We start from the raw sequence: 25,733 nt of genomic DNA on the forward strand, positions 1-25,733 counted from the left end.
CATCAGCAAATTCTGTTGACTGTCCCCCAAAACACATCCAGAATCCTTCTACTTCTCTCATCTCCACTACAACACCCTAATCCAGACAATACCTTCATCTGCCAACTGGATGGCTGCTTGTTCTGTTGCAGTAGTCTGTGAATAACTCTCTCTGCCTCCGTGCTGGCTTCCTATTCACACAGTAGCCACAGCTACCCTTTTAAAACATAAATCAGATTATCTCACTCCTCTGCTTAAATCCATTCAAAAGTTTGCAACATATTTAGAAATAACTCAAACCCCTCATTATAGATTCCAAAGCCCGATGTGATCTGGCCGTGTCTGGTTCTCTAGCCTCATCTTGTACGACCTGCCTTCTCACTAGACTACAATATACACAAATGGTTGCTCCTGCCTGACAGCCTTTGCACTTGGTTTTCCTCTCTCTGGAAAGCTCTTCCCCCTAATTTTCCCAAGACTGGTTTCTTCTTGCCATTTAGTTTTCAATTGAAATGTAATTTCCGCATAGAGGCCATCTATAATCCCCAATCCTAAAGTAGCCACACAATCATCTGTTACAGTAACCTATTTTAATTTTCAACATAGCTCTTACCACTAGCTGCTACTTTTCATGTTGATTTATCTGTTCTTTGTCTGTCTCTTCCCTCTAAAATGTAAGCTTCATGAGGGCAGGGACCTTGTCTGTCTTATCGCCGCATCCCCAGGGCCTAGAGTACCAGGCAGAAGTTTGATAAATATTGATGTAGCAGGTAGAAATAGTATCTCCAGATAGCCAGCCCCCAACAGGATCACAGCATCTCTTAAGGTAGTTGAGGGAATAGAGAGGAAGCTCCTCTTTATACCTCCTGTGCGTCAGTGGTTTGTGCGTGTACCAGCAACACAGCTCTGGTGCATGGGGCTGCCCCGTGGAGGATGCTCCTCCATAGTGACCGGGTTTATGCAGCCTCCTTCCAACCCCCAGAGTATTCCCATCCCTAGCCTTCTTGTGAAATCAGCAAGACAGGATCACACAGTCATGAGCACAAAGTTGCTAACATGCCTGGACAGAATGGTGCAGCTCAGCTCATCTCACCTTCACATCAGTGCGGTCACTAACTCGGGTTTATGTGACATTCGAATTTTCATCTTATGGTTAGACTCAGAAATATAGGCCAAGCTCCAGTATAACAAAGTCCAAGTGCTTGTTTTAATGCTATTTTTTTTTTAATGATGATGTTCAAACTTTTGAAGAGAAATCTGAAAATGAATATTTAGGGCCCATCCAAATAAAGAAGTTTGATTAGGACTTTTTAAGAATCAATGTTATTAACAGGTTAAAAAAAGCAACACTGAGATGAAAAGCAAGTTTAACCATAATGAAGTTCTCTTTGTTTTCTTCAAAAATGCTTGTTAAACATTTTTTTAGTACTTTGGTATGGAGAATTGGCTGTGCATAGAATTGTTATTGAAATAACAAAACACTATAGTTGTAGGTAGTCCATCCATTAGGGAAGTGGTGGCTTGTTTGATTGGATTCCTTTTTATTCACTGTAATGAGATTTTTGCTTGGGGATTTAAATGTTTAAAGATTCAATAACACTGAAAATTCAAGTTCAAGAAATGATCGTGAGGCCCTGCTGGCCTGACCCAAAGTGAGATGATCGTGTGGCATTCAGGGGGTGTTTCTGGCAGTGCTGTTACTGTTAGAGAATGAGACCACCCTTCAAGGGGCTGCTCATGTCCACGGAGCAGAGTCCGTCTCTCACATTTGAGACTGGGGAAGGAAGGCATACATGACAGGCTGGGCCTCACCACACCCACCTGGACCTCAGATCCCTTGTGATGGGAAGCCCACTTGGGGAGTAGAACCCTTGGCAATACCGACTCAGGGTTGGTGAAATCGCCTTTTCATGACAATTGATGATTCTCATCCACTGAGGAAATTACATTTCACCTGAACTCCCCAGTCCCTCAGGCAATGGCCAGCAGAGTGTCAGAGGGCACAGCTGAAGGTGCGAGAGTCAGCATAGTGCATTTGCTGCAGGGTGGAAGCTTGCAACGAGGAAGGCTGGCAATAAATGTACATTATTATGTCTCCAGAAGTGCTTAGTTTTTATTTATTTCTAATTCTTTCTGCTTTTTTTTTTCACGAGCACTGCTTAGAACTCAAGTTCCTGGGATCAAACTTGTATCACACAGGCTGGAGAAGGCTGTGGAGAAACTGAGTCCTCCCAGGTCTCAAGGTGGGTGGAGGGAGCCTGCAGGGGTCTCCTTCCCTCCCCTCTTGCCTGTTCTGCCTGGTCAGAGCCTGCACACGAGTGCAGAGGGCTCCCTTAGAGAGGGCCGGGCTAGAGGAAGCTGAAGTTTCAGAATAAGCAGCTTATTCTGTGGCCTCCTTTCCACTACAGACTCCTTGAGGAGGAGTAAGACCCCAGAAGGACAGGTGAGTCTCACCTAGGCTGACCAAAGTCCAGCTCAGCCAGCCCGTGATCTATCCAAGACATCCGCCCACAGCAGTGAGAAGCTGATGCCACTCAAAGCCATTCTCAGTCTACATCCACGATGCTGGGAAAGAAAAACCAAGTTCAATTTACCAAAATATCTGTATTATCTATAAAAATTGAACTCTAATGAGTCACTGATACGGGAGGCAGCAATACCCGACTGTGCTGACATGCAGAAGGAAGACAGCTCTGTCCCACCAACCCTATAGCAGAACATTTGTATTGAGTGGCACGTGGGCTGAGTCATTTGTAAGGTCTCAAAAACCTGGACACTTTGGAACGTAGCAATCGGATGAACGATCTTGGAAACATCTCTCGGGACTCCTGGGCTGTGTACTTGAAATAGTTCTGGGGATGGGCCAGGACATCAAACAGAGCCTTGATAAGTTTCTTATCCTAAAAAGAACAGAATTTTTGTTACTGGGCCAAAATATTTAAATATGCTGACATTTTGCCCATGGAACTATAATGACCCAGTATTAGGCCGTAGCTTGCTTAGCTGAAAAACACTTGCAAAAATTGTTTCCTCTGATTTTTATCTTCTTTCCAGTTTTTATTTTTCCTAATTAGTTTTAAGAAGTATGAATTACTTTTATAAATAAAACTTTAATATGTAAAATCCTGTTTTCTTTTTCCCAACCAGATGAATGCAACACTGGGATTTGGGAGTATTTGTAGGATTAGTGATACCACAAGTGTTTATTGCTAATTATTTATAAGTATTTAAACTTTGGTGAATTTTAGGCTTGAAGTATACATAAAGAGCCAAGGATCCTCAACTATTTGGAATTAATAGAAAAACATTATTTGCTGTTGGTTTGGATTTATAAGCAAATTTCTCCCTGCCCCTCCACAAGTTTCCAAATTGAAAAATACAACTTCACTTGACAACACTAAAGACAGCAACCTGATTTTTTTAAAAATTAAGTCTGGTGAAGGTATAAAACTGACCTTGGCCCAGGACAGGCTCCGTGTCTGAAAGGTGGCAACAAGGAGCAGGAGGAGAAGCCTTCTCCAACAGTACTCGGGAAGCTCTGTGGATAACTGCCATGTCCACCTGAGCCAGGCACTCACCTTAAGTATTTCCTGATGGTTCTCAGATGCATAGAGCCTGCCATCTCGAACTATGTCTTCAATGAGTTCCTGGTAGTCCTCTGTTGGAATAAAGAACATGTTTTGCATTCTTATGATTTAGTTGCTTCCAAACTCACTCTTTCACTTTTTGATAAGGTTCTGAGAAATGCCCCTTCTGTGGCTGCTATCACTTACCATTCTGCTTACTGAGAAGACAGTCAGAAGAAAACTTCCACAGACTCCCACCACCACCTCTCTTCACCTACCAGCATCTGCACCCATCTTCCCCGTCCCCTCTTCCCTCAGACGAGCCTCTGTGCATCCAGTCCAGGCTCATCCCTCCACTTAGCATGCCAGGTCCATCTTCTCTCCCCAAATCAAAAGCATTGTTCTAGTAATTCTGCTCTTTCTTTCCTACATGATACATTTTTCTCTCTATTCGTCTCTCCCACCAGCATGCAAAAATGCTGTATGTCTCTGACTTTAAAAATCCCTCCCTTGACCTCATTTCTCCCTCCAGCTTCCATCTCACTTACCTGCTCCCTTTTGCAGCAAAAATCCTTAAAAAAATTGTCAGCACCCACTGTCTCTAATTCTTTTCCTTTCTTTCTCTCTTAAACCCAGTCCAATCAGCTTTGGCCCCCATCACTCCTCCAAAACTGCTTGGTGAGACCAGCAATGACCTTCATGTTGTTAAATCCCAACGGCCAGTTCTTGGTCTTCATCCTCCTTGATGCATCAGTAGCTTTTGACCTGGCTGGTCACTCCTCCTCCTTGATCCAGTTCTTCACTGAGCTTCCAGGACACCATGCTCTTTGGTTTTCCTCCTACCTTACCGGTTACTTCTCTGAGGCTTCTTTGCTTTTCTTCTTCTCTCTGACCTATTACCAAAGGAGGGTCCCAGGGCTTAGTCCTTGGTCTTCTCTTCTCTGTCTATACTCACTTCCTGTTGAGCTCATCAGGCTCTCCTTTCCCTCTCACCTCCCCACCTCCCGCTTTTTTCTCTATTCTTGTATTATGTAAAACAATCAAGCTTCTTATCCACCAAGAAAGACTCTTCTCTCCTTTATTTGAATGGGGCTGGAGGGTGGAGAATTTGGCTGGTCGGGGAGGAAGAAAACTGTGTGTGTTCTCTCATTAATATTTTTTGTCCTGATATACACATTAAATGCAGTGCATGCTGTACTTCTCCAAATGCCAATCTTCCCCCTTTGAAGTCTAGCTTACTTCCTATAGGCATCATTCAAATTAAGCATATGCAAAGCACAATCTTTTCCAAATTCCAGACACAGAAAAAATGCCTCTTTGTATGCATATCATGTGCGACAAAGCCAAACACATTATGAGAACATCATTGAAATTGTGTGAGAGGAACTCTTGAAAAGTTTCTCTCAGTTAAGGGATGGCAAATGGAAAGTAATGGTATAATAGTCACAATTACTAATTCGATATGTTTACAATAGCATTGGTACTCCATTAGTGTGGTGTCTTTCTTTTATTTTAGTGAATATAAAATATGAGAATACATTTTCTTTTCATCTTGAATTCCTCTGCGGCAGTATCTCTCCTCTTTTTGTTGATGGGACTTACCATTAAGAATGTCGGTTGCTGTGCTGCGTTCTGGTGTAATAGAAAACTAGACAGCTGTTTGCCACTCCACCAAATGCTTCCCGACTGCTATCGTTTAAAAAAAATATTTCTTCTGCTTTTAAGAACTACTGTGTTTCCTTACTTGCTCCAACTCATTAGAAACGCAGGAAAGTTACAGGTAAGAATCCAGGCTCTGGAGTCCCACAGTCCTGGTTCAAACCTTGCTTTGCAACCTTGCCATGCTGGGACCTTAGGTCAGTTCCTTAAATCTCTAAGCCTGAATGGCCTCATCTATAAAATCAGGAAATAATCAAGTCTACTTTATGGAGTGATTGTGAGGAAAGCACCATGTAAAAGTCACTTCAGCATGTACCTGGCAGTCAGCAATGCTCAATGTGTGTTAGCCCCAGCTACAGTTCTCACCGTTGTCCAGCGCTCAGAGGGCCCGTCTGTAGCAGCCTCATGTGCACCTTCTAAATGTGATTTCTATCCTTCTGGGTTTGAAAAGAAGATATCAAACTTTTTGGAAATATATGTTTGAAAAAAAAAAAACTCTGAGTGAAGGCCTTGGGAGCTTCTCTGTGGGGAAAATAGCAGTTTCCAACTATTCTCTACTGTGACACATGCAAGACTCACTCTCGTGGGCATACACTGCATTATGCGTAATTTTCCCCAGTTGGAGCTACAACTCTTTTTCATTTTAAAAAAAATCAAGACATTTTCATGTGTCACAAAGGCAGAGTTGAGAACAGCCATATTTATTTTGAAGTCTCAGTGTCTTTTTGCTTTCTTCCTGATTCCAGATAGGAGAGGTTGCCAGTTGGTTGCTTTTGGGTAGATGAGGCTCTCTGTCTCTCTCAGCAGAGCCATGTGGGAGGCATTTGGGTCCACCCCAAGAGATACTAAAACTCCTTGTCTTGGGTGTTTGTTTGACATTATTTCAGGCATCTGTAGGACAAAGATGATGATCCGTGCTTTTGTTACTTTTTAGGAAAGCCATAGAATATTGTCTTCCCAAACAATTTTGGCACTTGTCATCCTAAAATCCTTCAGTGGCTTCCTCTAAGATTAAGTCTATCCTCCAGAGCTTGGCCCTGAAGGCTCTTCACAGCTGAACCCCATTCCCTTCTAGTCTCCTCTCTCACTGCCAAGCCCCACACACCCAACCCACTGACCAAATAAGACCATTCGTCAGTCCACACGTACACCGGGGTACTTCATCCTTTGACTTATGTCCTTCCCTCTTTCTGAATGTCCTTCTCCCCCATTTATGCTCAAAATGTATATGTTATTTCAAGACCCACATCTCTCAAGACTTTGCTCTATTCCTTCTAAAAGCTCATGTAAAATTAACTGCTGCTGCTGCTTCCATGCTCACATAGGGCTTTGGGCTGTTATAGCAGCTATAACAATATATATATTTTGTGTTTCTGTCACTAACCATGTTGTTTCCAGCACTTAGGCCAATGCCTGACATAGTAGATGCTCATTAAATATTTGTTGGCTAGGTGAACAAATAAGCTCAGGAAGAAACAAATGACTCCTCTCCTACAGGACTGTGTAGTCCTCCAGGACAAAGATCCAGTTCATTTTATGCTCCTAGTCAATGTTTTCCAACCAAGTCTCAGAGCTAGGTAGAGCCCCAGGGCTCAGATGGGCCACCTCTTCATCTAACATGAAGAAAATTAAAACAGAAGTCATCTGACTTGCCCAAGATCCCACAGTGAGTCAGTGAAAAAGCCAGGACCAGAACTAAGGTCCTTCCCTGCCTCAGGATTCTACCTAATAAAAGCCACAATCATCAGAAGTTAATATTTACTGAACAATTGCTATGTGCCAGGCACTGCCTCACGTCCTTTAGGAACTCTCACTGAACTCTTAAATAAGTCTAATGATTATCCTCATTCGCACATTAAGAACTTGAGGCTTAGAGATGGTGGCATACACAGTCACAGAGAAATCATAGCCAGGCTAATCAGTCTGACTCCAGTGCCCATGTTCTTACTCACCAAGCTATGCTCACTTTTAATATATTTTATAAAACATCTTTTCCTCCTATTGTCAGTGTCCCCAAATGCCTGTTAAAATTTGGCACTTGTGAGTCAGCAATGTCTTTTCCCCTCATCTTGCCTGCCTTTCTGAGCATGTGTGCTTGTCAGCAGTTTGCCAGCTGGCTCCGAAGTTGGCTCTGTTCAAAGCAGAGACGCTCTTTCCATGTGCTGCAGGCTGTGCTTACCATCATATGTCACGTATGGGACCTGGAACCCTCTAGCGCTGTTCCCTTCATTGGACTTGAACTGAATCCACAGCTTCTTTGACCTGGAGGTGAAGGCGATGGGGCGTTCGTAGGTCTGGCAGGTTTCATATGTTGTCACAGAATTGGATGAAGCTGCCAAGGGAAGTTGGAGAAGGGTGGGGTTCAAGACTCATCACTGATCAGGCATAGAGTAGATGCTCATCTTTCTAAACACTCAAACCATACAATAAGTTATGCTCAAAAGCTCTTCAGGCCCAGCTGAGCCATCATAAGTCAAAGGTCCTGGAAACAGAGTAGATTCAGCTGGTAATTGTGGACCCCCAGGGGAGGCTACACCTGAAAGACCTGGGGCTTGGCAAGCAGCAGCAGCCCAGGCTGTACCGTTCACTGTAGGAGCTGGGTGAGGGCCTCCCATTCCAGAACTGACCTGCTGTCATCTAATTGTCATCACCACCATTTGCTGCCTAAGATCAGGCAGCATGCTAGGCAATTTATGGACTTTGTCTCATTTAATCTTCTGAAAACCACAGAAAGTTGGTGCAACCGTTACCTTTTTAATAGAGAGATTAAATACTTGCCCAGGGTCATATAGCCAGTATGTGGTAAAACAAGGATTTAAACCTATACTTGACTTCAGACATTTTAACCACTAATAAGAAGAGCAAACGTTTATATAGTGGCTCCATGTGTCATCATCATTCTTTGTTTGTTTGTTTGTTTGTTTGTTTGTTTGTTTTTTGAGACAAGGTCTGGCTCTGTCTACCAGGCTGGAGTGCAGTGGCATGATCACGGCTCACTGCATCCTCCACCTCCCAGGCTTAAGCGATTCACCCATCTCAGCCTCCCGAGTAGCCGGAACCACAGGCATGCACCATCATGCCCAGCTAATTAAAAAAAAAAAAATGTATAGAGACAGGGTCTCACCGAGCCTGGTCACAAAATCCTGGTTCAGCCTCCTCCCTCAGCCTGGGATTACAGGTGTGAGCCACTGTGCCTGGCCTATTCTAAGTGTTTCACATCTATGAACTCCTTTAGCCCTTATAACCTTATAAGGTAGCAACTGTTACTAGCCCCATTTTAACAGATGAGAAGACAAGTGCAGAAAGATTCAGAATGTGTGCCCGAGATCATAGAACTAGTAAGAGGTGGAACTGGGACAGAGATCCAGGCAGTCTGGCTGCAGAGAGCCCCTCATTACACTGCCCATAAGCTGTGTTGACAGCAGTCTTCCTTTATGGACACTGGACCATGAATCAGGATAGGAGGACAGGTCCCCACCTGGCCAGGCTCGGTCAGTCTCCAAGCCATCAGTTGCAACTCAGTATGAGGCCTTGTCTGGGGCCAACACTGCATGATCCTCACTGGCTCTCTGGGTCCTTGTGGAAGAGGGTCCAAAACGCCCCAGTGAGCACAGAGGGGAAGACTGACCTGCAGGATCACTACCTCTGGGGCCCAGCAAGACGCTTCAGTGTGTGGCTTTCATTTAAATTTTGTTTCTCACCAACTCTATAAACTCATGTTCACCTCTGCTCTAATATGGAGGTGACGTTCTAGGCCTGCCTCCTCACATTGAAAGCCTGAGGAGCAGGTCATCAGGCTTCCCAGCTGGCCTGAGAAAGGGAGGGAGGGAGTGAGACGCACAGGTTTTCCGCATCACCAGATAGTCCCCACAGTCGTCCTCTATGGGCAGGAAGATCTCAGGGACCACGATCAGGATGCGGCGCTTGGGGGGTGGGTTGATGGTCCACGTACACTCGGTGTTGGCTGGGTAATTGCCTGGGTAGTTTGGGGATTCAATGTACCCAGTGAAATCTCCCAGCTCCCCTCCACATCTTCTGTCTGAAAAAGGAGATGCCCCGAGTTATGGCACGACACTGTCATCTCTGTCCTGACCACCGCTAGCTTGCCGAGCCCCGCAGCACCCCTGTTGCCACCCAGGAATGGGGCATGAAAATGACACCATCTGGGAATGAGTCTGTCCTTCCCAGAGGGCCCCCTGTGGGAGCCAAACCATTAGCTCCCCACAAGGAGTCTACCCCTCTGAGTTCCTGAGGCACTGTTTTCTCATTAGCCCGAAAGTGTTCACGGTCAGGGCAGGTAATTGTGAACAAAAGGATAAATTTAGCTTTCAGTATTTTGTTTACCAAGTCCAAGTGCCAGAAGAACCCATGAGACAGAACTTCTAGGTCTCTCAAAATAGGGGGAACAGAGCTCATTGCTCTGCAGAGACTATCTGACCCTTTTTCAGAGAACTTTGATGAAGACAGACATATATTTTTCACTTTTCTCTCTGGTTAAGACCACATTTTATTTTTTATTCATCTTTTAAAAAAATTATTATTATTTTGAGATGAGGTCTCTCTCTGTTGCCCAGGCTGGAGTGCAGTGGTGCGATCATGGCTCACTGCGCCCTTCACCTCCTGGGCTCAAGCCTCCCAAGAAGCTGGGACCATATGCAAGTGCCATCAGGCCTGGCTAATTTTTTTTCCTCATTTTTTTTTGTGGAGACAAGGTCTATGCTGCCCAGGCTGGTCTGGAACTCAGGCTCAAGCTATCCCGGCCTTGTCCTCCCAAAGTGCTAGGACTACAGGCATGAGCCACTGCACCCAACCCACATTTTATTTTTAAGGAAGGAAGAAAATTCTAATTAGCTATCAGTAGGTACAGGGCATGCTGGATACCTACGTCTGGCACCAAAGACAGAGGCTGCACACATGTGCACATGCTTGCACAGACCCCTCCTTCACCCACAGCACCCAGCTGCATCTTCATTCATCCCAGAAGTGTCACCCAAAGCTCTGAGAGCTCAGAAATGAGAAAGACACAGTCTTTGCTCTCAAGGAGCTCATTATTTAATACTGTCAGGTAAATCTGTGCAAGAGAAGATGTTGAAGGGATTACTTTTTCCCTCTCTAGTTACAACTGGGATTTATTATTACTAGAAAAAAAATAAATAGGCTTTTCTTCTTGGAAGAAAAGAGGAGGAAGGGGGAGCCATGGGGCGGAGAATTGCCTTCAGTCCTGAAGGGCTGCCCTAGGAACTGTGCCATAAGGCTCCCATGGGGCCAACCAAGGGCCAGGTGGTGGAATACAAGGGAACATTCATCTTGTTCTAACACTGTGAGCTTTCTAAAGTCCAATCCACCAACAAGCTAGGATATCATGAGGTAGCAAGCTTCCTGTCACAGCAGGTATTCAAGAAGAGACTAGATGGAAGGCTACTTATAAAGATGTTGTTAAAAGGACTTCCTTGCAATAGAGAGAAAACCAGATGATCTTTCAATCATAAAGTTCTAATGATGTACTGCCCCCCTCAGTCCCAAGCTCCTCCAGTTTAGGGGGGGCCTCCTTGCTCCTCTGACTGCTATCTTAAAGATTAGCTGGGATTTACTTTTGGCCTTTACTACAGAGTTTTTGTTGTAATTTTGGTTATAAATAGTGGCTTTAAAAAAAAAGCCTAGACAGCAAGTCCTTAAATGATTTGCTTCCCCCTTCCTATAAAACACAAACCGGTCTCCTCAGCATCCATCCGAGGCTTTGCCTCCTGGTCTGCCTGAGACTCCCTTCGGCACATTCTAGCCTGAGGTCCAGGGGTCTCCTCCCAAAAGGCCTTTGCTTGCCTCGATCTGTGCTTCCCCCAGCTGCTCTCTCAAACATAAGGCTCTTTCTCCTACTCTTTCCCCACCCTCTCCATCAAAACCTTCTCACACCCTCCAGAAGCCTTTCCTCATCTCTCGAGACAGAGTCAATCGCTCCTTCCTCTGCAGCCTCACTGCCTGAGCTCCTTGCAGGTTCAGCGATGCCGACTCATTCTGCCTAATATCAACCAAGTCCCAGCAGAATGCTGGGCACGTAACAGGTCCTCAAGCAATGCATGCTGATCAAGGCTGGACTAAAATTATGCCCCAGGGAGGAAATTAAGGCAAGTACAGCTTGTAAGTGTGCCTGAGGAAGTAGCCAGGATCAATAAAGATGAGTCGCTCTGCACAGTCAGGCCCTGCTCTCTCTCCATGCTGGTCTGCATGGCTGTGAGCTGGGCTCATAACATCTACATGGTTCTGAGTGAACCTGGGACCTCTGCCCCGTGCCCCCTGCTCTGAGGTGGACCCAGACACCTATCTTCTTAGCCAGAACTATGAAAAGCCTTAGAGAGGGACCTACTTTTACACTGGGTTATGTTTGTGGAGCCATCAAAGTCAGTCGTAGTATTTCCTGGGCAAGAAACACAATTATTTTTTCCAAATTCAGGCTGGTATGTTCCCACTGGGCAACGAATACATCGGTGAGTGGTGGTGTTGTAGAAATGTCCAGGTGAACATTGAACTGTGGGTCAAGGGAGGGTGAAAAGAATGAAAAAAAGAAAGATTATTTTTAATCAAATGCAGCACAAAGATTTTAAAGTTTGTGAAAGAAATGTTTATGTGCAAATGAAGTAGGGCTTTCCTACCAATCTGGGGCTAATCAACACTTAATTCCCTAAATAGGCAGTGTGGATGGGGCTCATGAAATAGAGAAATATAGAGGAACAAGATATGTGTGTATCTCCAAAGAGTTTATGGTTCATGCAGAGTCAGGCATCAATGATCACAACTCCAGTCTTCATGCAGAGCACGTCTGTGAGTATAGGGGGCAGGCAGTTGCAGAACTGAGGTTGGGTTTAGAGTTGGGCTCCCTGGGAAAAGGCAGCTGGAGTGGGGTTCTGGAGAAGGGGTATTGGGGGGAAGCTCTAGGTCAGGGCACTGAGATGGAGGAGGGCTAGAGGAAGGAACCAGGGGAACCTGTGTACCAACTGGCTCATCAGTGCCTGATCATCCCTTGTCAGCCTGTCCAAAGGGGCTAAGGTGGCTGGAGGACAGCTTGTCCAGTGAGTTCCAGTGCCCCCTGCACATCCTGCTGGGGCGAGTGGAGCTGGGACCTGAACCCCCAGCCACTGGGGCACTGCATCAGGCTGGGCTTGACTGGAGCCTCACGAGACTCCCATGATACTTAGAAGGGAAATCCAGTCCTAGAAAAAGGCAAGCTGCCAAGTACTCACCTCTGGTTTCACAGTCCTGAAAGGAAGTAGCTCCCTGATGTTTGGTGGCAAGGCCTCCTCCACAGGGGAAGCAGGAAGTTCGACCAGCTTCAGGCTGGAACGTGCCCAGGGCACAGAGCTGGCAAGGTGCAAAGCCATCTGCAGAATATTCACCAGGTTGACACAGACCTGGAAGGACCAATAGCCTTACGTGAGCAAGGCCTCCAGGCAGACCCTTGCTCCCCACTCTCCAAATGAGACCAACTTCAGTCCAACCTGTTACCCAGTGCTGACCGCAGTTCCCACCTCAGTCAGAGAGCACACAGTCAATGCTGTGGTGCTTCTGACCCTGAGTCAATGGCACATGAGTGCCTGCTGTTTACACACAGGGCTACACAGCACAGTGCAAAGATGGAAACCAAGAAGTCAAGTGTCAACTGCTTCCAAAGTATGGGAAGGCCTGGGTAGTTCTCAGGCTTAGGCCTACACACTGCCTAGGCATCCCCTGCAATGCAGGAGAGAGAGTTCTCTGCCCTGGGACCAATTTGGTAATTAGACCCAGAAGTACCCCTTTACCCAGCTGATTACAGCCTATTGATATAAAGAGTGATCCGGGCTGGGCTTGATGGCTCACGCCTGTAATCTCAACACTCTGGGAGGCTGAGGCAGGAGAATCACTTGAGCCTAGGAGCTCAAGACCAGCCTAGGCAACATGGCGAAATCTCTACAAAAAAATTTAAAAATTAGCCAGACATAGTGGCACATGTCTGTAGTCCCAGCTACTCTGGGACTGAGGCAGGAGGATCACTTGAGCCCAGGAATTCCAGGCTGCAGTGAGCCATATTTGCACCACGGCACTCCAGCCTGGGTGATCCAGAAAGACCTTGTCTCTAAAAAAAAAAAAGAGTGACCCAAAGAGTCTCCCCTGTTTTAACAATAATATTTACTAAGTTAGATCTTACACATGTTATACCTGGGACAAGAAACACAGTCATAAACAAACAAAAGGATTTCTAAAAGCACATGTTCCTCAGGAATTAGTCATTGGCAAGATGCTATCAAAATCTGCTATCTATCTCTTATATTCTTAATCATCTCTCCTCTATTAATCATAGTGGTCTCATTTTCCCCCATAAGTTATAGATATGATGGCATTTCAAGAACACACACCATTGGGAGGAGCCTGGAGCCTGTCAGACCTGGGTTCTGATTCCACATCCTCCACTTGGCTGTGTGACCTTAAAAGAGTCACTGTAGCCTCGTGGAGTTGTAATGATTATATGAATTGTGAATAATTCATATAATATACTTAGCATAATGCCTGGCATAGGTAAATATTCAATACATGGTAGCTATAATAACCATTATTACTAATATTCTTATTGCTGTCATTTTTTTTTTTTTGAGACAGGGTCTCTGTTGCCTAGGCTGGAGTGCAGTGGCACAATCACAGCTTACTACAGCTTGACCTCCTGGGCTTAAGCTGTCCCTGCACCTCAGCCACCTAAGTAGCTGAGATTACCATGTGCCACCACGCTCAGCTATTTTTTGTTTTTTTTAATTTTTTTCTACAAACGAGGTCTCACTATGTTGCCCAGGCTGGTCTTAGGGTTAGGGTTAGCCACCTGAGCTCAAGTGATCCTGAACCCAAAGTGCTAGGGTTACAGGTATGAGCCACCATGCCTGGCCTAAATTTTTCTTAATAAGGTCACATAGGCCGGGTGCAGTGGCTCACGCCTGTAATACCAACACTTTGGGAGGCCGAGGCAGGTGGATCACCTGAGGTCAGGAGTTTGAGACCAGCCTGGCCAACATAGCGAAACCCCATCTCTGCTAAAATACAAAATTTAGCAGGGCATGGTGGCACGCACCTGTAATCCCAGCTTCTCTGGAGGCTGAGGCATGAGAATCACTTGAACCCAGGAGGTGGAGGTTGCAGTGAGCCGAGATTGCACCACAGCACTCCAGCCTTGGTGACAGAGTGAGACTCTGTCTCAAGAAAATATAATAATAATGTCACATACAAGGGTAAATTCATGCCAAAATGTCACCCCTCATCAACCTTGCAGTTAGTTTTGGAGTTTTATAACAGACCAAAGAGATGATAGGAGTCACACAGTCAATATGAGGATTTGATTTTTAAGCCAGAAACAGCCTTGCAGTTCAGTTTGGAGTTATTTAGGTGGGAAATAAAGCTGAGGCTGGGAGTCACTCCAAGGACAGCCGTGGGAGCAGCACGAGGGGTCTTCACTCTGCCGTGGCCATCAGATATAAATCACCATTCAGATCACACCTGCCATTGGAGCCCACAGAGTGTCAATACAGCCAGCCCTTCTCCCATTTAATAAAAGGAAGACATTTAATAATAAAATAAATAGGAAAGCCCACAGAGCTTGAGATTGACTTCAAAGTTAACATTTTATAAGAGATAATGAAAAGCTCTTCACAGAGGAGGTCCCAGTTTTAACAAAATAAACGGATATATTTGTTTTAAATAAAAAAGCTAAGAATTTGAGACCAAAGCTGGAGAAAAACCCAGACCTCCTCTCTTCATTTTAACACTTTCAAAACAGTACCTATAGATAGGGAAATCACTCAGGTTTCAGGTGTATATATTTCCAGTGAAGAAAGCACGCAGTTTCAACACTTACGCTCTTCTGCTAGTGTATTCTACCCCATCTTCATTTATTTGCTCAAATGAGTATCTGCCCAGCATGTGTCAGGCACTGACCTAGGCACTGGTGAGCCAAAGATGAATCGAGCCAACGTGGTCCCTGCTTGTAGGAAGCCCCGGGTGAGTGTGCATTGTCTGGAGTCCTTGAGATGCCTTCTGTCTAAACAATGACATCAGAGATGGGAGGAGTAGGAAGGAACAGACAGCATCCTTACCTCCACATTCAGACATATTCCAAGCTTCTGGGGTCTTCAGGGCCCCAGAATTTCCTGGTCTTGGGCATGGTTCACAAGTCATTTGTCCTTCCTCATTTTGGAAGGTTCCATTTGGACATAAAATGCAGCGTTCTCGTGCTCCATCATAATAGGTCCCAGCCCTGCAACTGACTAGCCAAAAGGGAAACAACCTGGTCAGTGTGGACACAAAGGCCAAGGAAGGATGATGTGAGTTCTAGAGATGAAGGCAAATAGATGGCACTGACCACACCACCCACGGCATGCAAACTCCCTGAATACGCAGTGTGCCCTGCCTTGGTTCTCTCTGCACACCTCTGCACAGCTTGATCCTCATTGCCCCGTTAGAGGTGTTTACAGCTCTGTCTCTCCCTAGACCATGAGCTCCTTGAGAATAGGGATCACAGGGGTTCGAATTATTTTTGTAGCACAAGCACTTGATGGTTGAAGAGAGATTTTTAAAAATCCTGGATCTCCCTACTTCACAGGGCTGTTGACACAATTATAGAGGTTAAAATCATTCATTGAACATAGGTCTAGTGCTGGAAGAACAGAGTGTTATTAATTCTGTCTGGTGGCATCCCGAAAGGTGTCCTAGAGGAGGTCACATTTGTGTCAGGCCTTGAAGGATGAATAGGATCTTCGCAGTTGGGAAAGGGGGCAGGTTCTAAAAGTTCATGCATTAAATCAGGAGGAGAGGAAAGAAAAGATTGGGAATAGACTGCAAAAGTTCTTGAGTGCCAGGCATTTGGATTTTATTGTCACAGGTAAAGGAATCATTGAAAGGACAGGAGTCAGGCATGGTGGTGTGCGTCTGTAGTCCTAGCTACTGGGGAGGCTAAGATGGAATCACCTGAGCCTAAGAATTTGAGTCTAGCCTTGGCAACATAGTGAAAATGAGACCCCTTCTCTAAAAAAGAAGAAAGAAAAGAAGAGGAAGATGTCCAGAAGCTGTGTTTTGAAAAGTTCATTCTCTGGTGGCCGGCTGGGATGGGTGGTGATCTCAAGACCCTTACAAAATAGCACACTTCAGGTTCATAATAAACAATACAACAGGCTGTGCGCAGTGGCTCACACCTATGATCCCAGCACTTTAGAAGGCCAAGGTGGGCGGATCACCTGAGGTCAGGAGTTCCAGACCAGCCTGGCCAACATGGAGAAACCCCGTCTCTACTGAAAAAACAAACAAACAAAACAGAAAAATTAGCTGGGTGTGGTGGTGCACACCTGTAATCCCAGCTACTTGGGAGGCAAGGCAGGAGAATTGCTTGAGCTCTGCAAACGCGGAGGTTGCAATGGGCCGAGATGGTGCCACTGCACTCCAGCCTGGGCCACAGAGTGAGGCTCTGTCTCAAAGAAAAAAAAAATCAATACAACAAAGTGTAAATGCTGGTAAATAAGGAAATTCATCAATGTTGCTTCTGGTTCTATTTCTAGTACTGTTAAATGTAGATTTGTACCTTATGTTAGGCTATGAATATGAAGCAAACATACCAAATTTGGCTCCCTACTATTCAAACATCATCAGAGTCATCGCATTTCTAATGACTAACATTTGTTGAGTACTTATACCAGACACCATGTCAAAAGCTCTACATATAGTATTTCATTTATTCCTCAACACAGCCCTAAGGATCTAGGTACTATTATTAGCACCCTTTTACAGAAACAGAGACTTAGAGAGGTTAATAATTTGGCCAAAGTCCCACAGCTAATTTGTGAAATACTCCTATGGTACTGTAAGATCAAGAGCTTTGAGTTTAAAAGGGAAAAAAGTTATTTAACAAACGGGCAGATTTAAGTGCAGTTGAAGACTTTATCAAGGATTCTCTATGGGGCTAGGAGAGTTTGACTGGAACAAACATTCTCTATATGTAAGCTGCCAAGAAATAGAAAAAAATTACATGATAAAGTTAACTATTACAGCTCTCCAGTGTCTGTAACAAGGGAGATCGGTTTTCATCCTATTCTACAAATGCAATTTGCATATATATTCTTAGGGTTAAACATGGGAACGTTCTCTGTTATAAGAAATAAAAATGTCTTTTCATTATTCATTCCAAAATCTTAAAAAAAAAATCAGGCTTTTGGATCATGGTAAGCAAAAAATATGCCACATTTTAAATATTATTTCTACAATTCAATGTAACCAATTAATAAAGTCTATCCAAATATCTAAATCTTAATACTCATATTTCTTGGATTTTCTTTTACAACATTCATGTATCATTTAAATACAATTTTATATATATAGATTTTTTGAGATGGAGTTTTCACTCTTGTTGCCCAAGCTGGAGTGCAATGGCGCGATCTCAGCTCATCGCAACCTCCGCCTCCTGGGTTCAAGCGATTCTCCCACCCCAGCTTCCCAAGTAGCTGGGATTACAGGCAAGCACCACCATGCCGGGCTAATTTTTTGTATTTTTAATAGAAACAGGGTTTCACCATGCCAGCCTGGCTGGTCTCGAACTCCTGACTTCAGGTGATCCACCTGCCTCAGCCTCTCAAACTGCTGGGATTATAGGCATGAGCCACCATGGCCGACTACAATTTTATATTTTTAAAAAATTAAAAGTGAACCAAACTCTTGTTTTATTGGCAAACAATATTATAATGAGACTGATGGCAAATAGAGTATAATTCCAGACTTCTTCTCTAAATGCAGCCCTACTGGATAATGGTTTCCATATCGCTCTGGTTCCAGCCCATCTCTCATGTAAAGCTGGGCTGAATTCTGTATTACGAACTCACGTTTTACCCTGTGTCCCACTTGACTCTTTCAGTGTCTGTAGCAGGCCAGTATATCAGAGAATAACTCCTTCATGGCTCTAAGGAGCTCACCTGTCATGAAGCAGGTAAAACCAAGGCTGTCCAGAGCCCCTCTGCTCAGCCATTTCTATCTGAAGAAGAGCTGTTTTTACAATACTCATCCACGGAAGGGAAAGTGCCGATATGGTGACAATGATTCCAACAGCCCCATTAATCATAACGTAGAGTCACATCACCATGGTCTGTTCCATCATGGTTCCTCTGGCAGAAAACAGATGTCCTCAGCAGGTGGACAACACCAGGCCTGGTTCTCACTGAGCCAGGGACCAGGATGGGCTCCTGCTGCTCTGCTGTCCCTGCTGCTGAGAACTCTTTCAACCTCCACAGCCTTTGCAAGGTGACCTTTAGAGAGACCTCACAATATCCCACCTCTGTGCCATTTCTTAACTGCTCGAAGTGCCAAGAAACCCTTCAGGCTGCCCTGTGGAAAAGAGGGCACCAGTTCTTTTTCCTCACAATGAAAGGCCTGCTTCACATAAACAAACTCATATTGTCAGTCACAGTGTCCATTTTCCTTCCAGAGAGAAAGACCTGCAGAAATAATTCATGCCAAGCACCTCCCAAATATATTTGATTCTTTCACAAGGTAAAAATGAGCTAAACACTAAAAGGCAACTCTGAAATATCATGAAGGGATGCCTGAAAACCGCTCTTTGCAAATGTGCTGAGAATCTGGCCTGCAGAGACCTCAATCACACGTTCCAGTGGCTTCTCTCTTCTCCTTCAGCAGCCAGCTTGTTTTGCTGCCCAGGACAAAGGAGTCAATTGCCCCCAGAACACTTCACTATCACAGCAAAGCTTTTGTGTGCCTTCAGTGACCATTAAAATCTCATTCTCAAATCCCACACAGCTGTTTTTTCTCCTTCTTTAAAAAAGATACGAGAAAGCTTTTCTGATGCAAAAGGGACAGACCAGCAGGATGAGGATTAATGGCGACAAAGAAGCTTGAAGCCTCCGCCTCTTTTCAGCACTGTGGCCTTTGAGTATTTCAGGCTATAGACAAACACTATGGTCTCTCTGTGGCTAAGATGATGAACCTAATAAAAGGGGTCACCCTCTAGTATTTGACTGCTTTCTTAAGAATCACGCCTTGACTTCTGAAGAAGAGCCATAAGCAGCCCACGTGGATTCCCAGGGTGCCCCAGGGCTGCTGCTTTGTCCCAGTCCAGAGGTGCTGATGCCCCAGGCAGAGTTGGCCTCAGGATCCTGGTTTGAGCTCTCTTTAAATGACTGCCCCCATGATAACAGGGGACAGTCCTTCTTGGGCTGAGAGATTGATTTTTCATTGTCCAGGTTTTTGACCTGTGCTCAGGTTTGCTCTTTAAAAACATTCCTGTAGTTGAGGCAGAGAAATGAGCCCAGCTTGATGCCTTCTTCCTTATTGGGTTCCCAAATGCACACTATGTTCTTTTCATGCCTAGTTAACTGGAGCTGAAATTTCACTTCCTTTAGAGTGCCTTTTTTGCCCTCAATTTAAATATTTCTCCAAAGATTTGCCCTTTGCCCTCTTTTCTCTTAATGTTATCTACTATCCTTGGGATTTCATCTGTTGTCCCTGTGAAGATTCATTTACTCATTCATTCAATAAGTACTTATTGAGCACTCATTATGTGCTGAGTACCGTTCTAGGAGCTGGAGACACAGCAGAGAAGAGACATGACCCTGTTCTAATGGGGTTCTCAGGGCAGTAAATAAATGAGCAATAAATCTCAATGAGCAAGCAAATAAGTATGTAATAGAATGCAAGTAGTAGTATGATGAAGAAAAGGAAAACAGGGGAAGATTACAAAGAGGGGGTAGGGATGGAGTTTGTATATATGCTATTTTAGAACTGTGGCCAAGAAAGGCCTTTCTGAACAGAGACCAGAATAAAATGTGGGAAACAGGCTGGGTGCTGTGGCTCACACCTGTAATCCCAGCACACTGGGAGGCTGAGGCAGGAGGACTGCTTGAGCCCAGAGTTCAAGACCAGCTTGGGAAATATAGTGAGACCTCGTCTTTCCAAAATCACCTTAAAAAGTTAGCTGAGCGTGGTAGTGCATGCCAGTGGGAGAATAGCTTGAGCCCAGGAGGCGGAGGTTGCAATGAGCCAAAATCACACCACTACACTCCAGCCTGGGTGACAGAGCAAGACCCTGTCTAAAAAACAAACAAACAAACAAACACAAAACAACAACAAAAAAAAACAGGAAATAGCCTTGCAATGAGATTGCCTAATAGCAAGAAAGGCAGTGTAGTAGGAACACAGCATAAGGGGGTAGGGCAATAAGAGAGGAACTTTAAAAAGCAAGCAAGGGCCAGATCACATGGGTGCTTGAAGGCCATGGTAAGGAAATTAGACCTTACCCAAAGTATGTTGGAGGTTTGAAATGGGGCAGTGACACAATCTGATTTATGTTTTTCTTTTCTTTTCTTTTCTTTTCTTTTCTTTTTTCGTTTAGGAGACAGGGTTGCGCTCTGTTACCCAGGCTGGAGTGATCATGGCTCACTGCAGACTCAACCTCCTGGGCTCAAGTGATCCTCCCACCTTAGACTCCTGAGTAGCTGGAACTACAGGCTTGCACCACCATGCCCAGCTAATGTTTTAACTTTTTGTAGAAATAGGGTCTCCTGGGCTCAAGTGGTCCTCTGTCTCGGCATCCGAAAGTGAGCCACTGTACCCAGCCTGATTTATGTTTTTAAGAGATGTCCTGGCTGCTGTGTGGAGAACAGATGGAGGCCAGGCAAGGCTGAGGAGAACAATTCAGAGCCTGGTACAACAGACTGAGCTAGAGATGACGGTGGCTTGAAACAGAGCAGTAATAATAACGGAGGAGGAGAAAACTGGTCAGATAAAGGAAATTACCTGAAGGCAGAGCTGACAGGATTTGCACACGGACTGGATGAGGAACGCAACAGAAAGGGAGAGGTCAAGATGACTCAGGCTTTCCACTTGAGCAACTGGGTGAGGCGAGGTGCCCCTTACTGAGATGCTGGTTTGATTTGATTTGAAGCTTGAGAGGATAAGAAGCTTTGTTTGGAAACACTGAGTTTGAGATGCCAGTTGGCCATCCAAGTGCGGACACTAGGAAGGCACGGGTTCTACTGTTGGTCTCTGAGGCGGAATACTACACCTCGGGGGTTGACAAGATGATCCACCGGGTGGGAGCACGTTTCTACACCCATGCCTACGAATTTTCACCTAAAATAAGAAACAAACGAAGCTCCTCTGGTTTAGAATATGGTGTAAGAGCAGCCTCCCAGCCAGTCTCCATCTCTGTGAGGCACAAGACACATGTGAGGAGCCAGGGTCGCCAAGAAAAGAGAAGCACTGGCACCCACAACTCGGGCGCAGGGCACTGACTGACTCTCGCCTCTCAATACATAGAGAATAGTTACAGCTTAGCTATGCCTGGGTAATGAGATGTCCTGACCTATATGATCGTGTTTTTAACTAAACTAACCATCACAAAATAGAAAGCAGCTTTGATGGATTCCCGGAAAGAACACCCGACTGAAGGGCGTAAACGTGACGCGAGCCCATGCGCACCACAGGAGTGTCCGTGGGCGCATCTTCTGCTCCTAGCACAGCAGCCACGCGCGTCCGCACCACAGGAGAGGGCCCGTGGGTGCATCTTCTGCTCCTAGCACAGCAGCCACCCGTGTCCACAGTGGAGCGGAGGTTTCCCATCCAAGACCCCCAGTGGGTGCCTGGAACCTCGGAGAGTACCACACCCTATATACACTAGGGGTTTTCCTATGCGTGCTTATTCATGATAAAGTTTCATTTATAAATTAGGCACAGCAAGAGATTAACAATAATAATAAAATAAAACAATTATCACAACATATTATAATAAAAAGTTATGTGAATGTGGTCTCTCTCTCAAAGTATCTTATAGTACCGTACTCACCCTTCTTGTGATCTGTCAATCTGATAACTGAGATGACTACTATGTGACTAACATGGGGGAGGGTATACACCGTGGGTACACAGGAGAAAGGGAGGATTCATATCCCAGGCAGGATGGGGAGGGTACACAGCGTGGGTACGCAGGAGAAAGGGAGGATTCATATCCCAGGCAGGATGGGGAGGGTACACAGCATGGGTACGTAGGAGAAAGGGAGGATTCATATCCCAGGCAGGATGGGGAGGGTATACACCGTGGGTACGCAGGAGAAAGGGAGGATTCATATCCCAGGCAGGATGGGGAGGGTACACAGTGTGGGTACGCAGGAGAAAGGGAGGATTCATATTCCAGGCAGGATGGGGAGGGTATACACCGTGGGTACGCAGCATAAAGGGAGGATTCATATCCCAGGCAGGATGGAGCAGGACAACACGAGATTTCATCACACCACTCTGAAGAGTGGGCAATTTAAAACTTACAAATTGTTTATTTCTGGAATTTTCCATTTGATATTCTTGGACCATGGTTGACCCAGGTAACTGAAACCACAGAAAGCAAAACTGCCTATAAGGAGGCACTAGTGTATTACCTCTTTGTCAAACTACATCATGAGACAGAAACAGTTACGATTTAATCTGGTCTGTCAAGAGTTCACCTAAAGCACTAGCAATAGTCAAAAAGACTATAGGACAAATGGATTTGCAACCACCACTATCAATAATGAACTTCGCCCAATTGTAAAGATTCTACCTTAAGATGCTAGCCAGTTATTTTTAAATTTGTTTAATCTTTATCTTGTTCTGTCTTTTGTGATGAACATAGTGTACTAGCCAATAGTGTAAGTATATAGTTTATAAATAAGTAAACATTCATATATATTTTACTTAGAGGGAGAGAGAATGTGTGTGTGTGCATTCTTAAATGTTCAGCATCTCTGGGACAAAGGAGCTGGAGAGGGCAGTTTCAGAATCGCCAGCATGTGGTGGTATTTAAAGCTATGGCACTGGGTAAGGTCACCAAGGAGAGTGTGAAGACAGAGGAAGGGACGAAGGATTCAACCCTAGGATAATCAGAAAGTAGGGGAGGAACCGGAACCAGCATTGAAAATGAAAAGGGAGCAGCCAGTGAGGTATGGAGAAGCAGAAGTGTGTTGTGTCTGAAACCCACAGGAAGAAAGTGTTTCCAGGAGAGGGAGTGATCAGCAGAGAGGATGCCTCATGAGGAGTGAGGAAAGGCAACTGGATTCGGCATCACAGAGGTGGTTAGGAATCTTGGAAAATGTTTCTGTGGAGAGGTTAGGCATGAAAATCAGACTGAAGAGAAATGGGAGGTAAGGAGGCAAAGACAGTATGACTACGGCTCCTTCAAAGAGCTTCGTTCTACACAGAATGGGGGACACAGAAATGAGGCAGTAGCTATAGAGATGCATGAAGTCAATGGAGGGTTTGTTTGGTTTTTAAGACAGGAGATGGGTTTGTGTGATGTTGGAAATGATCTAGCAGAGGAGAAGAATTCTGAGATGGGAGGGGTTGATGGGGACAGCATGGGCAACATTCTTAAGAAGCTGAGAGAGAACAGGCTCCAGCTTGAGTGCAAGATAGAGGGGGGCCTTAGAGGCATGGGCTGCCCATCCATTTTAACAGGAGGCAGGTCTGAGCCTGTGTGGACAGACTCGGGATTAGGCAAGTTAGGCTGGACATGAAGAGAAGAAGTTGTTTCGCTAGACTCCCAGACACCCATGGACACCTCTGCCTAGAAATCTTGTTGCCCAAGGAGCACTTCTCTCCCTGGCCTCTGGCTTTACTCCTCTTACAGAAGCATCTCTATTTTCCCAGGCACCAAGGCTCCAAATCACAGCTCTCCCTGGCTTCTCTCCTCACTGCCCTGTCACTCAGCGGCAGCATCCTACAGCTGTGTCCCTTCTCTCTATCCCCTATTCTTCGTCCCCATGGCATGAATGTCCCTTAGATCCTCACCGTCTCTTATTTGGATTGCCGCAGTAACCTTCCAAGATTCCCCTGGCTTTCTGTCCCTCCCTGCCTCCACTCTTTCCATTCTACCATCAGATGCACCTTTCTAAACTCTTTTTCTGATTGCTTCACTCCCTGGCTCAAAAACCTCCTTGCCTTGCCTTCCTGCACTCCTCTCAGTTTCTCTGACTCAATATTCAGGCTTTAGCCTCCTTTTATGTATCTTTTTCATCCTTTCTCATGCTCTCTCAAGAGCCTATTTTTTTCCTGCTTCTCCTATAAATCTCTTCTGATTATTTCTTCCCCAGTGATCACATTCATTTCATCATTCAACCAACCCCCTGGCGTTTTCTCAGTGCCTCCTGCATATGAAACAGGGCATGGTGAGATGAGGGATGTATGGGAAGCAAGTGCCAGGATCACAGGCCACATCAGAATCCTCTGAGCTCAGCCCACCTCTTTCCCCTTCTCAGTCCCCAATCCATGTCATCCCCAAATGCTGCTCATTTTCCCTCTTAAATATTTCTCTAACCCATTGCTGTTTCTCTATCTAGGACCTGCATGTTCTCAGTATCTCATAGGCAACACATTCAAAAGCCCCCAGATTGGTCTTTCTGCCTCTAATTCTGCTCCCTCCAGTAAAGTCAGAGAGATCTTTCTAGAATACACATATGACCTGGACACTTCCCGAGTAAATCCTCCAATGGCAGCATGTCACCTAGAGATAAAGTTGAGGCTCCTTAGCAACATATCCAAGGTTGCTGCAGAGGAACAGCAGTAAGCTGTTACAAAAGGAATTAAATGTTCCTAGTCTCTCAAGAACCCAGGCACTAAAATACTTCCCAGTTTGCCAGTTGTCTGGATTGTTTCTTCTAAAAATCTCAGCAAGTTTTCAAAACAACCAAATACAGTATATATAATACATACATACATACATACATATATACACACACATGCATACACACACATATATATTATCCAGTGTATTTCTTAAATAATTTATCTTTTAGCTGGTATTATGAAAGTACAATAGCTAGACATCCATGTCATATAGTTAATTTTCTTTAGACATGAAGAACTTTATGAAGTACTACAGAGCTTAAGAAATTTGTTCCTTGGACCCTATAATCATTTTTTTTTTTTGCCATCTTGTTAAAATTGATCACAGATGGTACAAAGGTCACTTGGAGAGCAGGCTGTCCCCAAAGTCCCCAAATGCCAAATTAATGAAACTTTACTATATAAAATAATGATAAGAAAGAAAATATACAATTGGTCAGAAGTGATTATTTTCTCTGGTGTAAATTGGGACTTTAAAATTTATTTTTTAATGCTATACAAAGGACAAACAGTTCAATGCAAAAATAGGCAAAGAATATAGATGTTTTCAGAAGAAGGAATCCAAATGACCACAGGCATAAGACAGCATGCTTAGTCTTACTAATAAAGAAAACCAAGTTAAAATGACTATTTTTTTTTTTTTTTGCTTACCAGATTTGCAAAAATGAAAAGGATCAATGATAAATAATCCATGTTAGCAAAGATGTAGGATGCTTCCAACGTTGGAAGCGACATGCATAGGCATGATCTTTTGGGAAAGTAATTTGGCAGTATCTATTAAAGTTTTAAATATGCAAGTTCTTTGAGTCGGCCATTGTACTTTTGCAAGTCTATCCTTCAGAAATATTGGCCATGTGTACAAAGAATGATATTCATTGA

The 25,733-nt window shown here is 44.7% G+C and overlaps 1 protein-coding gene and 1 long non-coding RNA gene across 31 annotated transcripts in view, besides 1 other annotated feature; one reads left to right on the top strand and one right to left on the bottom strand.

Annotated features, from left to right (window-relative positions):
- NRIP3-DT (NRIP3 divergent transcript) overlaps positions 1–25,733 on the top strand; it is a 63,704-nt gene that overhangs the window by 14,231 nt on the left and 23,740 nt on the right. The gene's annotated exons all lie outside the window — the stretch shown is intronic.
- SCUBE2 (signal peptide, CUB domain and EGF like domain containing 2) overlaps positions 1,158–25,733 on the bottom strand; it is a 72,124-nt gene continuing 47,548 nt past the window's right edge. For 7 of the 30 annotated variants that reach the window (XM_005253036.5, XM_017018080.2, XM_005253034.5 and 4 more), the window contains 7 exons: positions 15,308–15,478; positions 12,440–12,607; positions 11,566–11,727; positions 9,046–9,243; positions 7,384–7,536; positions 3,558–3,637; positions 1,158–2,879 (listed from right to left, as the gene is read on the bottom strand). In XM_005253036.5, coding sequence (XP_005253093.2) covers positions 2,727–2,879; positions 3,558–3,637; positions 7,384–7,536; positions 9,046–9,243; positions 11,566–11,727; positions 12,440–12,607; positions 15,308–15,478 — 1,085 coding nt within the window. In that variant the 3' untranslated portion in view covers positions 1,158–2,726. Of the gene's footprint in view, positions 2,880–3,557; positions 3,638–5,865; positions 6,096–7,383; positions 7,537–9,045; positions 9,244–11,565; positions 11,728–12,439; positions 12,608–15,307; positions 15,479–25,733 lie in introns of those variants that run through there. The other 23 variants (XM_047427365.1, XM_017018081.2, XM_047427356.1 and 20 more) reach the window with 5 other exon arrangements.
- Positions 20,928–20,977: a silencer, noted in NCBI's record as "silent region_3119". NCBI's record gives its function as "represses an Ori minimal core promoter by ATAC-STARR-seq in GM12878 lymphoblastoid cells {active_cell/tissue: GM12878}" and the evidence as "EXISTENCE:reporter gene assay evidence [ECO:0000049][PMID:35858748]".

This window comes from Homo sapiens, chromosome 11 (assembly GCF_000001405.40).
Source record: "Homo sapiens chromosome 11, GRCh38.p14 Primary Assembly".
Taxonomy (NCBI): Eukaryota; Metazoa; Chordata; class Mammalia; order Primates; family Hominidae; genus Homo; species Homo sapiens.